The 14,439-nt window shown below is 38.8% G+C and overlaps 1 protein-coding gene across 59 annotated transcripts in view; it reads right to left on the bottom strand.

The window, feature by feature from the left end:
• ADGRL3 (adhesion G protein-coupled receptor L3) overlaps positions 1 to 14,439 on the bottom strand; it is an 878,010-nt gene that overhangs the window by 206,133 nt on the left and 657,438 nt on the right. The gene's annotated exons all lie outside the window — the stretch shown is intronic.

Raw genomic sequence — 14,439 nt, 5'->3', positions numbered from 1 at the left:
ACACACTATGATCCAGCCACTAAGAACCACTTGCGGTGTCCATACAAACCAGGCTGCTTGAGACCTAAGTGTTATCTGTCACTTCAAATTTTCGCTAAACATACACTGTGTGCCAGGCATTTTCTAGAAGCTAGAATTATAGCAAGCAATCAAACAAACAAAAATTCCTCACTTCATAAGGAAGTAGACAATAAATATGAAAATAAGTCAAATATTTGGATGTTAGTAGTAAGTATAAAGAAGAAATTTTTGACATTTAGATTAGTTATCAAGGCAGGCGTAACTGAAAGGTAACATTTGAAGGCAATGAGGCAGTGAGCCACACAGATAAACAGGGAAGATCATTTCAGGTAGAGGGGATAGCAAGAGAAAAGAATATGCCTCTCTGCATCTTTTTTTCTTAGCTTTTTTAAAATAACAGCTTTATTGAGATATAATTCACATACCATATAATTCAGCTACCTAAGTGTACAATTCAATGATTTTTAGTATATTCATAGAATTGTGCGTATAACAAATTTTAGAACATTTTATAACCTGAAAAAGAAAGCCCTTGCTCAATAGTAGTCATTCCCCATGTTCCCCAACCTCCCAGCTCTAGAAAATAACTAATCTACTTTCTATCTTTATGGATTTTCCTGGTCTAGAGATTTCATATAAATGGAATCATACAGTATGTGCCTTTAGTGACCGGCTTATGTCACTTAGCAGGTTGTTTTCAAGGTTCATCCTTGTTATAGCTTGAATCAGTACCTCATTCCTTTTGATCGCACAATGAGATTCCATGAATCAGTACCTCATTCCTTTTGATTACACAATAATATTCCATTAATCTGTTGCTGGAAATTCAGATGATTTCTACATTTTATCTATTATAACTAACATTCTGCTATGAGCATTTGTGTACACTTTTTTTTTTTTTTCTGAGATGGAGTCTCACTCTGTCACCCAGGCTGGAGTGCAGTGGTGCGATCTCTGCTCACTGCAAGCTCCGCCTCCTGGGTTCACGCCATTCTCCTGCCTTAGCCTGCTGAGTAGTTGGGACTGCAGGCACTCGCCACCACACCTGGCTAATTTTTTGTATTTTTAGTAGAGACGGGGTTTCACCGTGTTAGCCAGGATGGTCTCGATCTCCTGACCTCGTGATTCGCCCGCCTTGGCCTCCCAAAGAGCTGGGATTACAGGCATGAGCCACCGTGCCCGGCCCCCGTATACACTTTTTTAATGTAGACATATGCTTTAATTTCTCTTGGGTATATACCCAGAAGTGGAATTGCTGGGTCATCTGGTAATGCTATGTTTAACCACTTGAGGAACTATCAGATTGTTTTCCAAACCAGCTACACCATTTAATAATCCCACCAGCTGTGTGTAAGTGTTCCAATTTCTCCATATTCTGGCCAGCACTTAAAGTTATCTGTCATTTTGATTACAGGTCATCTAGTGATTTTGAAGTGGTATTGCATTATAGTTTTGATTGTATTTTCCTGATGGCTAATAATGTTGACCACCTTTATAAGTGCTTATTGGCCATTTGTATATCTTCTTTGGTGAAATGTCTATTTGCTCACTTTTTAATCTGGTATTTGTCCTTTTATTATGGAGTTGTAAGGATTCTTTATATATTTTGAATATAAGCCCCTTATCAGATATACAATTTGCAAATCATTTCTCCAGTTCTGTGGATTGTCCTTTCATTTCGTGCCAGTGTCTTTTAAGCACAATTGTTTTTCATTTTGATGGAGTCCAATTTATCTTATTTTTCTGTTGTTGCTTGTGCTGTTGGTGTTAAATGTAAGAAACCATTGCTTAATCCAAGGTCAAGAAGATTTATTTATTTTTAACACTTTTATAGTTTTAGCTCTTATGCTTAGATTTATGATACATTTTGAGTTAATTTTTGTGTATAGTATAAGGGATAGGTCCAACCCCATTCACTGGTATGTGGATATCCAGTTGTCTTAAAACCATTTGTTGAAAAGACTACTATTCTTTCCCTCATTGAGTTGCCATTAACTTCTTGTGTCTGGTGGGCACCTTCCATCATCTAAGCAACTCAAGTTTTACTAAACTGTCAACAATTATAGAACTGTGCTGTTTTAAATCTCAACACCACATTGAGTCCCAACAATAGGAATTACGTTTTTTCCTTTCTTTTCTTTCTCTTTCTTTCTTTCTTCTTTCTTTCCTTTCTCTCTCTCTCTCTCTCTCCCTCTCTCTCTCTCTTTCTCTCTCTCTCTCTTTTTTTTTTTTTTTTTTTTTTTTTAACAAAGTTTTGCTCTTGTTGCCCAGGCTGGAGTGCAATGGCATGATCTCAGCTCACCACAACCTCCGCCTCCTGGATTCAAGCGATCCTCCTGTCTCAGCTTCCGGAGTAGCTGGGATTACAGGTATGTGCCACCACGCCTGGCCAATTTTGTATTTTTAGTAGAGACGGGGTTTCTCCATGTTGGTCAGGCTGGTCTCGAACTCCCGACCTCAGGTGATCCGCCCGCCTCAGCCTCCCAAAGTGTTGGGATTATTCCTCACTTTTGGAATCCCAAAGTGTGAGCCACCACGCCCAGTCTCATTTTTGTTTTGTTTTGTTTTTCTTTTTTTGAGACGGAGTCTCGCTCTGTCGCCCAGGCCAGACTGCGGACTGCAGTGGCGCAATCTCGGCTCACTGCAAGCTCCGCTTCCCGGGTTCACGCCATTCTCCTGCCTCAGCCTCCCGAGTAGCTGGGACTACAGGCGCCCGCCACCGCGCCCGGCTAATTTTTTGTATTTTTAGTAGAGATGGGGTTTCACCTTGTTAGCCAGGATGGTCTCGATCTCCTGACCTCATGATCCACCCGCCTCGGCCTCCCAAAGTGCTGGGATTACAGGCGTGAGCCACCGCGCCCGGCCTCATTTTTAAATCTCTCAGTACTTGCTACATAATAGGAACTTGGTAAATGTTTGGCATGTTAAAAAAAAAATGGGCTGGGCATGGTGGCTCACACCTATAAACCCAGCACATTGGGAGACCAAGGTAGGAAGGTGGCTTGAGCCCAGGAGTTCAAGACCAGCCTGGGCAACATGGTAAAACCCCTTTGTATAAAAAGTACAAAAAAATTAGCTGGGCATGGTGGTGTGTGCCTGTAGTCCCAGCTACTCAGGATGCTGAAGTGGGAGGATCACTTGAGCCCAGTAGGTCGAGGCTGCAGTGAGCTGCCATCACGAGGCTGCAGTGAGCTGCTATACTCTAGCCTGGTGGCATATAGAGACCCTGTCTCAAGAAAAAAAAAATTACCTTTGAGGTAGATCTTGGGTCCATTGTGGTAGTACTTGGACAATTAATAGCATCGCTGGAAAGCAGTTTAATTAGGGTTGCAAAAGCAGAGTCTGAAAGTGAGTGAGCATAGGAACCAAGGCAGGCAAAGCTGCAAAGATAGGCTGAGGTGAAACTTTTCAGCAGCTGGAAATGCCTTGCCAAGGACTTTAATTGTCTACCAAATTAGATATTAAAGCTTCTGTTGAGGTTTGTGAACATAGAATGGAGTTCTGTTTTAGAAAGATTAATTTAGCTGGAGAATATAGAAGAGAAAAAAAAGAAAGGCAAGTTTAGAGGTTGTTATTATAATCAACAGTAAAGTTAAAGGCAAGTAGGGTCACAGTGACAGTGGTAGTGAAAAAGGTAGTGTGCATTGTAAAGTGCATTCCTTTCATTCGTTTGTTATAGAGACAGAGATGTCAAGCAGGGATTTGGAAATCCATAACTGGGGCTCAGAAAATGGTTGGGCTAGATATGTAGATCTGGTGGCTACCTAGTCAAAGGTGCTAGAGTTAGATGTGTGGATAGATGATGCTAATAATGAGAGAAAGAGAGAAGAAAAAGAGATAGAAATCGCTTGATTTTTAAAAGAATCAGAGCTGAAATTTGAGATTCCCTGAGATCTATGGGGAGAGAAATGGATGGAAAAAAAAATCTACAGAAACTTGTTAAAAGTCTCAATCACTGAATTACTTTCAATTCAGTCTCAATCACTGAATTACTTTGATATTTCTAGGATATTTAAGAACCAAAGACATATTTTATGTATTGTCAAACAAAAGAAAACACACACATATATATATCTCCACAAGAAAGTATACGATTCAATTTAAATTTTTTGTGCATATGTAAACCACTAGCTAAGCTGAATTTTCTATAACTAATATTAAAACAGGATATTATAAAGCTTCAAGCAAAGAAAATCAAAGCTATAAAGTGACAACATGTAGAGAATGAAAGAAAACCCCATTATAAGCCCTTCTCTTTATACACCCACTTAGGGGACTATATCTCAAGAAAATAATATAAAAAAATCCACATATTTATAAAAAGTGTGATACATCTATGCTATCTATTAACAAGAAGATGAAAGGATTATAAATATGCACAGTTTGAGGATGGCTTAAGTGGCCTCTAGATTATTGTCACCTTTTGTCTAGTTATGTTTCTCCACAACACAGACTTCATCAGACTTAGCATAAAACAGACAAATTTCTCTGCTTCTTTTGGCCTTCATTTCTGAAGGCTCTTGTGTCACATAAAACATATTAAATAAATCTATACGCTTTTCTCTTGTTAATTTGTCTTTTGTTATAGGGATCTCAGTCATAAATCTTAAGATGGGTAAGAAATCTTTTCTCTCCTACAATTATATATATATATATATATATATATGCATATATATTTTTTTGAGACAGGGTCTCCCTCTGTCGCCCAGGCTGGAGTGCAGCGGCACCATCTCGGTGCGCTGCAACCTCCACCTCCCAGGTTCAAGTGATCCTCCCGCCTCAGATTCCTAAGTAGCTGGGACTACAGGCATGAGCCCACCACTCCTGGCTAATTTTTGCATTTTTTGTAGAGACAGGGTTTCCCCATGTTGCTCAGGCTAGTCTCAAACTCCTGAGCTCAAGTGATCTGCCCACCTTGGCCTCCCAAAGTGCTGTGGTTACAGGCATGAGCCACTGTGCCTGCCTCTCCTACAATCTTAAATCACTTATGTTTAGATGCCAATTTTTGTTTGGCTTAATCTAATTGTAATAATGCAAAATTCCTTAGGATATCTGCTAAAAAAATAGATATGGGCTGGTATCATAATTCTTTCTACTATTAAAATTCTTTACCTAAAAAACAGGATTTGAAGGCCAAGTACATATGAATTTTCCATGTTGTAACTAAAAGAAGCTCCCCACAAAGTCAATATAATCCTTATACGGTCTGTGCATAATCTTTACTGTGCTTATTGTTGACTCTCTGGGAGTGCATCTCAATACCAGGATCTTCAAAAAAGCAGAGGGACTTTTCTTTGTCTTGTTTAATTTTGTTATTCAACAAGCACATGGAGGATTGATTGATGTGACACTACCTTTAATCCTTAAAATAGAATTACAACAGACATGAGAAAATAACCTTCCCTCAAAGAGGGCCTGAGGGTATTCTCAGGGGAGAGACGCATTTTAGTTAATGCCAGAAGAGTCTTCAGAGAAAGCACTGGCTGTATGAGGAGTTCCTTCATTATGAAGTTTCAGAAGGCATATTGGAAAGCTTAGAGGCATTTTCAAATCTGAGTGTTTTCCAGCCTCAGCACTGACAGGAAGCAAGAGAATGAAGTAGCTCTGGGCCAGTACTAATAGCACCTGAGCTTTTCCTAACACAGAGAATATAATGCCGAGGACAGGCTGACCAGCTGCAGAGCACACAAACCTGATGTCATTAAAGACTGCAGATGATCCTGAGGAAGTTCACTATGCTCCTGAAAACTTGTGCGTGAACATGAAGAACACACTCCAATGAGCAGAGTATCTCATGCCACTAGCAGGTCTATTTACGTTAGTGAAGGGCTATGGCATCTCTTCTCTCCTCTCTTGTCCCTCTGCCATACTCAGAACAGAGGTTGATTTGATGCTTTCCCCTCATTTAAACGTAATGATAAGGGATTCATGGAAGCTTAGTACGTTTGCCGTAGAGTCTGAGGACAAAGCAGAGAAACAGAGACTAAGATGCATAGGGAGCTAGCTACAATTCCACTACAAAAGTGAAAGGAAGGCTGCATAAATTTCTCAGGGGCAGGGGATGGTGCTTGCCTGGAAGCCCAAAGCAACTTTCTGCAGGTGTCTGTGATATCCACAGAAAAGGTATACAACTGGATTCCCAGGAGCACAAAAAGGAAATGTAAATGGTCATCCAGATGGAAGAACATGCATCATTCATTTTCACTGTCAAACTTTCCTCAATGGGGTAATACAAAAATCCCATGAAATCACTTATACTACCATTCAGCTTTCAAAAATCTGCCTAAGTGAGAGATTCATCTTTATCCATCTTCCTATGAAAAAACTGAAACTGGATTCTGTCAAAGACAGTCACTTAAGACCTTTCCTGCCCAAACTTATGCTCCCCTCTCCCTCTTCCTTCCATCTTAACCATGTAGGAGTCAGAGGTAGTCTAGCAAACAAGAGTCAAGTGGAAATATCAGGTGGAGAAACTGAGAAGAAACCCACTAAACACCTGTTTTGCATGGCAAGAACTGAAAAGAGGAGAACATTGTGAAGAAACTTACTTTAAATGAAGTTCAGAAATTTTACTGTCATCTGGAACTGTACACTGAATTTCAATAACTGGATTATTTTAGGACTAAAAGTAATGTTTGTGGTGCAAAGGAGGAGCTATATGGGCAACGAAAGCATATGGTACAGTCAGAATAAAGTTGTTTTATGATTGGTCTTGAAATCCTCCTTATTGAATGTGCTTATTTACAATCTAGCTGGTTATTTTAGTATACTGAAATGTCAAACCACAGCCTTCCAGTTATATATGCTATTTTAAAAAAATCCTGCCCAGATGACACCCCCACAAGCTTCAAATTGGTGGAAAGGTAAAAGCCTAATAATTTCTTTCAAAACTACTTAGATTTAGAGAATTTTTTTAAAGTAGCTTGTATATGGGGGTGGGCAATAGCTAACTGCTTACAGATACAGTTATTAGTCAGCCAAACATATCTTAGAGAATTCTTTTGTCCACAGAAAATTGATTATGAAAATACTCATTTTATTCTTAAGACCAAAATTTTATTTCGTAGTTTATGCTTAGTGTAAACCAATCTCATTCTGCGAGAGACGAGTGACATGCAGATTACAAAAATTCATGCATAAAGAAGAGCTTCTATAGTTTACCCTAACAGGCTAAAAATCACTAGGTTCTGCATATTTGGCCATTTGAGTCAAAGTAACAAACGTGATAGTGTATGTCCCTCAAACAAAACAACAACAAAATACAATTAAGTGAAACATTACATTCTATGCTTCCGTTGATTTCATTTTAGTTCCACAGCTTCACAATTTTACCTGTTTTCCAAAACTGTTATTTTTATGTGTCTTTGGGGCTCTATTCAGAGAACTCCCTCAGCTCAGTAAATTTAACACTATTTTTTCTCAGTTGGTTCAGCACCAGATTCAAAAGAATCGTCGTTGAAAATTCCATGATTTGCTCCAGTTTCTGCTGGTGACCTTAGCTTTATTTGTTGTCTCAGCAGTATAAAGTTATTCTAAGCACAAATAAAAGGAATCATAGACAAAAATTCTGTCCTTCTAAAGCCAGCATTACTATAGTTTCTGCATGTGTTTTTGGCAGTAAGTGACTATCACAATAACATCTAAAAGCTTGGCTTTTTGTGGAGCTCAATTAACGTTAAGTATCTGATACTCTGGGGCTTTGAAATGTTCAGAATCAAATGCAAGACAGGGAAGAGCCAAGGTTTTATGTTTGACATTCAGATATTTACTGAGGGTCATGCAAGTCCTTTTGCACAGCAGACAAAACTAGTTAGTTTGCCTTCATGCTCTGATCTGGAGCTTAAATCCAATGGGGAAATTGTTATTGACTTAGAGAAGTTATTTTTATGGGCCAATTTTCAATATTTCTTGCCAATTCACTGATATATGAGAACTAATATATGGCAATCATTAATGAATAATCTGATTTAAAAAGAAGATCTAAATAGATTATTACCAGCTTTTAAAACTAAGAAGTTTTACTCAGTAACTGAATTTCCAGAGATAAGGTACATAGTACAGTTTGTTCCTATAGCAGCATTGAGTACAGTATCTTCCACTTAAATATGTCCGGGTTATTTTCAAGATTTTGATGACAACCTAGCTACTGTCATGTAAAATATATGTTATAAATGTTTGAGAGCATTTTCCTTTTATTCTCTTGCAGAACTAGACATTAGAAATAATCAATTCTGACCAAACCTTCATAGGGAGAACTGCAGTACAGGATTTCATTCCAAACACCTGATTGAGCATACTTAAAATATCCTTTGAAAAATCAGCTTTTGCTAAGACCATGCCAGACAAAAATGGATGTTTATGAAACAATGCTTGTATGATTTTAATCTCTTCAAACTGCCCTCATGCTGGCAGTGATTTTTGTGCCTTTTGTTGCCAATAAAAAGTTATTACCTTAAAGTTACAAAATGCCTAAATTCCTCCCACAACTAATATGATATATTTGTAAGCCTTCTATTAAATCATGGTTGAAAAGAAAGCTATTTCATATGTACATATATGTGTGTCTGTTTGCATATTGCTACCAAGATAAATGTCCACTTTCCTAAAAGAGGTGGAATGGAATGAGTGAGAAAGAATGATGCCCAGGCCGGGCACGGTGGCTCACGCCTGTAATCCCAGCACTTTGGGAGGCCGAGGCGGGCGGATCACGAGGTCAGGAGATCGAGACCATCCCGGCTAAAACGGTGAAACCTCGTCTCTACTAAAAATACAAAAAATTAGCCGGGCGTAGTGGCGGGCGCCTGTAGTCCCAGCTACTTGGGAGGCTGAGGCAGGAGAATGGCGTGAACCCGGGAGGCGGAGCTTGCAGTGAGCCGAGATCCCGCCACTGCACTCCAGCCTGGGCGACAGAGCGAGACTCCGTCTCAAAAAAAAAAAAAAAAAAAAAAAAGAATGATGCCCAGACATGATGTACACAAGCACGTTTCCTTGTCAATAATGTGTCGATCTATGTTAGTCACTTCAGGGTATCATGCACATTGTGGAATGTCGGAATGAAAAAGGATCACATTGTTCATCTGGTTCCACTAGCACTTCTCAGAGAGGAGTCACACAGTATTGGAGTGGCTCAGCTGGACTGCCAACCCTGGTTTCTGAAATCCAAGTCATGTTTTTCACCTATACCACTGTTTCCCCAGCCTACTCAATTAGAATCACTGTGGTGACAGGACTTAGGAAGCTGAATTTAGTCTGATTTAAAATAAGCTCCCTTCACCCCCACCCCCTCAAAATCCCAAACATTTAGTTTGGATATACTCCCAGGATGAGAACCACTGATCTAGTGGTAGTGTTGAGCAGTGCTTCTCAAACTTTCGCAAGCATCAGAATCACTGGGAGATCTTGTTTCAAAAGAGTCCTAGGTCACCTCCCAATGATTCTGAATTCAGCAGTCTAGGATAGAGACCATGAATCTGGAGTTCTAACAAGTTCCCAGAGGATGCTAATGCTGCTCGTCCAGGGATCACACTCTGAATTGCAATACTAAGGAGGGGAAGGCCATTATTGGTTACAGAGACTTGGAGCAGAGGAGCCCTAATTCCCAAAGCTGGTGGTGGTGGGACATAATATCAAGGAACATGTGTGAGAGGAGAACTACAGGCTTTGTTTTACCTCAGGGTTAGATTATTCAGCATAATATCCCGGTCCCATCTCCTTCTCTCCTGAACTACAGTTGACAATGCCAACAAACAACTCGAGTTAAAAAGTGGGCCATGCCGGCTGAAACATCGTTCCAATGCCTGTGATTTGGCTGATCTAGACTCTGGCTGGTCATAGTTACAGCTCTGTCCCTTAGTTCTCATCTGGGGTGCAGACTGTATTTTGAGCAAAAATCTCTTCTTCCCAATGTTCTTTTGAATGTGACCTTGCCATAGAGAAACCAGCTTGTTCTAGTTTTCCTGGGACTTTCCTAGTTTTAAAATGGAAAGACCCATGTCATGGTAACCCCCTAAGTCATGGGGAAACAAAGAAGTTTTATCACTCTACCTTACCATTTTCCTATGAAAAGGGATAGTCTAATTCCTTTCTTCTACAATCTTGTCTGTCCTTAATGACAGCCTTGTGCCAGTAGAATGTTCCCAAAGTGATGCTATATGACTTGCAAAGCTATGTAAAAAAGGCTGTGTAGCTTCTACTATTTCTTGGAACATTTGCTGTTTAGAAGCTTTCATCTGGGACACTCCCTTTCAGAAAGTAGAAGCTGTGTTGTGAAGTCAATCCTACGTGGAAAAGCCACATGCAGGTGTTCCGCTTGTCAGTTCCAGGTAGGGCGGGCCTTCAAGTAATCAAGCCCAGCAGTAGACATGTACGTGTAGGACCTCCTGGATGACTCCATTCCATTCACCGAAGTCACCTCCAATCTTCAAATCTTCTTGGCTGTGTCCGTAGACATGGTGGAGTAAAAACAAACCAATCCTACTATGCCCTAGATGAATTTGGTAACATAAACTATCAATAACTATCATTTTATTCTGCTCATGACAAGAATTCATTTTATTCTGCTCATGAATTCTTGTCATGAGCAGTATAAAATGATAGTTTATGCCACCAAATTTGAGGTAATTGTGCACCAACAGATAATCACAACCCCACCTAATCCAAAAGGTATCATCTTTGTATCTATTTTGGCTTGACTTTGTCAAGATTGTTGCTCAATCAAGCATACTATTTCTTGGTTTAATTTTCCAACCCATTAATTCCTTGATTCAATGCAACCCTCCAACCCAGTCTTTCAGAACCCTTTTCCAAACAAACATTTATGAGCACTAAACATTTAGCAGGTATTACCATAAATCAATAACCCAGGTTATTTGATTTAATCTTCACAACACCCTGTGCAATTATTATCCCCATTTCCCAGATGCCTAAATTCACATCTTATAAGCACTGGATATAAATTCAAATATATGCCTTATTTCCAAATCCTTGCTTTTAACAATCATGATATACACCCCTACTCTCAGCTTTCCCTGGTCCTTCCCTGGTAATCCTGAAATTGGTTTTCTTAATAAACAAGTGGACACAATTGCTCTGCTGAACCTATCCTATTTCAAAATTGTGTTTTCATCTTCACTATACTTGGAAATAGATTTCAATATTTACTATGTAGAAATCTTCAGTTTGACACAAAATGATGAGTGATTTAATGCCGTAATATTTGGCAGTGTGGCTTAGGAAAAAATGCAAAGACTTAACGATCAGACTGAACATGGTTCCTATCCTGGCTCTATCACTTTCTATTGCTGTTATGTTACTTTGCACTTGCTAAGGCTCAGTTTTGTTATTTGTGGTAAGAGGATGATGATAATAATAACTATCTAATAATATTATGATGATCATTAAATGAGAAAGTATAAAACACAAAGAAGAGTAATTGCCATATGACAGGCACTCTCATGGCAGCTATTAATAATATGAAAGGGTTCTGAGATATGACTGCACTGGAATGAGGCATTTCACTCACAACTTAGCCATGACACTCTGGGGAAGGACCGCAGATGGAGTAGAGTGGATAAGAATTGTATAATGCTGGCAACAACAAAGGGGCCCAGATATTGGCATCGGCACACTGAATTGATGCCAGCATCATAAAAGTCTTCTACTCCACACCGATCCAGAGAGATAAAAGGATTAGTTGGCAGTGGCTATTACCCGATCTCTGCTTGTGGGCAAATTTGTTCATTTTTCCGATCAGTAACGCAAATAATTCCACATTTCTTTCCAACTCTGATAATTTGATTTTGGACAATGCTAGTTAAGTAAAAGGGCTTACGTTTATCTGTATATTGTTAAAGAAAAAGACCAAAAAAGACGTGAGGGGATGGAGAAATGGGACTGTTGTTCAGTTCAGTTGTCCTAAGTTGGTTGCAGAGAAAGAACCAAAAAAACATACACACATGCACACCCACAGAACACAACTGTGTTTCTTAACTTTAAGCTACATGTTGGAAAGCACCTGGGAAGGTTTTACCAATGCCCAGCCAACCAAAACCTACTGAATCAAGACTGTCTACAAGGAACTCTGAAGCATGCCCTGCAGCAGAAGCTTTGTTTCAAAACAGTAAACATTGATATACACCTTTATCTCTATTTTTTTCAGGTGAGTATAAGGATTTTTATTTTGAGAAATATTTCTTCACTTTTAGTATAGTGTTGTTATTTTGTCAACCTAAAAGCAGTTAAGACCATATTTCTCTAACTCAGACAAGCACTGGAAAAAGACAATGTCATTTATTTCTTTAACATAAATAACTAGGCACTGACTTGTTTCCCTTAAAATTGGTTTTCCTGATGAGAAAACCAGCTCTGTTGAGTGCTTCCCTTTTTAGTAAGAATAATGTCACTTTAGTACTACACACCACAGAAATAGATCATTATCGCAGACACATAGTCTCAGTTATTCCTCAGCATTTAATCTGAACTAAGTTATAAATATGTTCTAATAGTGTTTTAAAACTTATTTACATTTAAATTTCTTCTGTATCTTACAGAACTTCATGAGGTTACTGTTGTTTCTATGTCATGCTTTTGGACAACTTATACATTGTAAAGAGAAAAAATGGTATGGAGTCAATGTGAAGTTTGGTTCACTAAAACCTACCTAATGATTAGGAGCTTTATTAACTAATGTGTTTTTAACTAATCATTTTTCAACATCACAGAATTATGAAAACAAAAACATTTAACATCATCATGACTGGAGTATAACAAAATTAAATTTAGTCACTAATTTGCCATATTGTCACTACAGATATTTTTATTATTACTTGATTTGCAAATTACTTCAAAGATTCTAAGTATTTCATGTAGCTTCCTTTCTGCTTATCTAAATTAATATGTAGAAAAAACAAAACAGCCCACAACTTCAGGTTTTAAATGAAACACCTCTAAATAAGGAGGTATTTAACATTTTGCTAACCATCCATCCCTTAAACAGACTTTTCAAATGTCAGCTCTATTTCAGGTGGTACAATTACACCAAGCACTGAAAAATACAAAGAAGGCTGGGATGAGTCCAGAAGTGTTCACAGGATAGTATATACACATATATTTTATAAAGTTAATGTATGTATTAAACAATACTATAGGCTTATTCATCACAATTCAGGATTTGTTTTTCCTCCCAAATCTCTTTTATTGACTCCGATCTTTTAAATTTTAATTGTCTCTTAGCCATATCCTAGCCATCCTTTTATCCCCATCAATCCAAAGAGGTGATTGCATTCACAGCCACAGCTTTAGACTTTTCTCTATATGTAAATAACAGAAAACTCCCATTTCTAAGTCCGACTTCTTTCTAGATCAAGGGTCAGCAAATTAAGAACGAAGGGCCAAATCTGACCCACTCTCTGTTTTTGTTCAGCCCACAAGTAGGGAATGTTTTTTCCATTTTGTAATAGTTCGAAAAACAAACAAACAAACAAAAGAAGACAAATACTTCATTATGGGAAAATTATATGACATTTAAATTTTAATATTCATAAAGTTTTTGTTTTTTGTTTTTGAGACCTAGTCTCCATCTGTGTCCCAGGATGGAGTGCAGTGGCACAATCTCAGCTCACTGAAACCTCTGCCTCCCAGGTTCAAGCGATTCTCCTGCTTTAGCCTCCTGAGTAGCTGGGATTGCATGCACGCGCCACTACGCCAGACTAGTTTTTGTATTTTTAGTAGAGGTGGGGTTTCACCATGTTGGTCAGGCTGGTCTTGAACTCCTGACCTGGTGATCCACCTGCCTCGGCCTCCCAAAGTGCTGGGATTACAGGCGTGAGCCACCATGCCTGGCCAATATTCATAAAGTTTTAATGGCACACAGCCATGCTCATTTGTTTATATATTATCTATGGATGCTTCTAGGCTACAACCACAGAACTGAGCAGTGAGGGAGGCCATACATAGCCTGCAAAGACTGAAATATTTACTATCTGGTATTTTATAGTAAAAGTTTGCCAAGTTCTCTCTAGATCATTTAATTTACTGCCATTGGTTATGTTACCTTTGTATCCTGTAGGCATCTCAAACTCAATATGCAAAAACTTAATACATTATCTTTTCCCACAAAGCGGCCTCTGTTCCTTTCAATAATGAGAAGTCATTTGTGACCTTTTCTTTACACTTACCACCTACCAATGATCAAGTTCCCAATGATTCTGCCTCATTAAAGTTTCTCACATCTGCCTTTGTCCCTATTATTATTACTAAACCTTAATGTAACCCTCCCAAATGGACTATTAAAACAATTGTGCTATTAGGTGGGAATGGTGGTGCTTGCCTGCAGTCCCAGCTAATTGGGAGGCTGAGGCGAGAGGATTGCTTGAGCCTGGTGAACTATGAATGCACCACTGCACTTCAGCTTGGGTGACA

Source organism: Homo sapiens, chromosome 4, assembly GCF_000001405.40.
Source record: "Homo sapiens chromosome 4, GRCh38.p14 Primary Assembly".
Lineage (NCBI taxonomy): Eukaryota > Metazoa > Chordata > Mammalia > Primates > Hominidae > Homo > Homo sapiens.
This window is presented reverse-complemented; position numbering and strand designations above follow the sequence as displayed.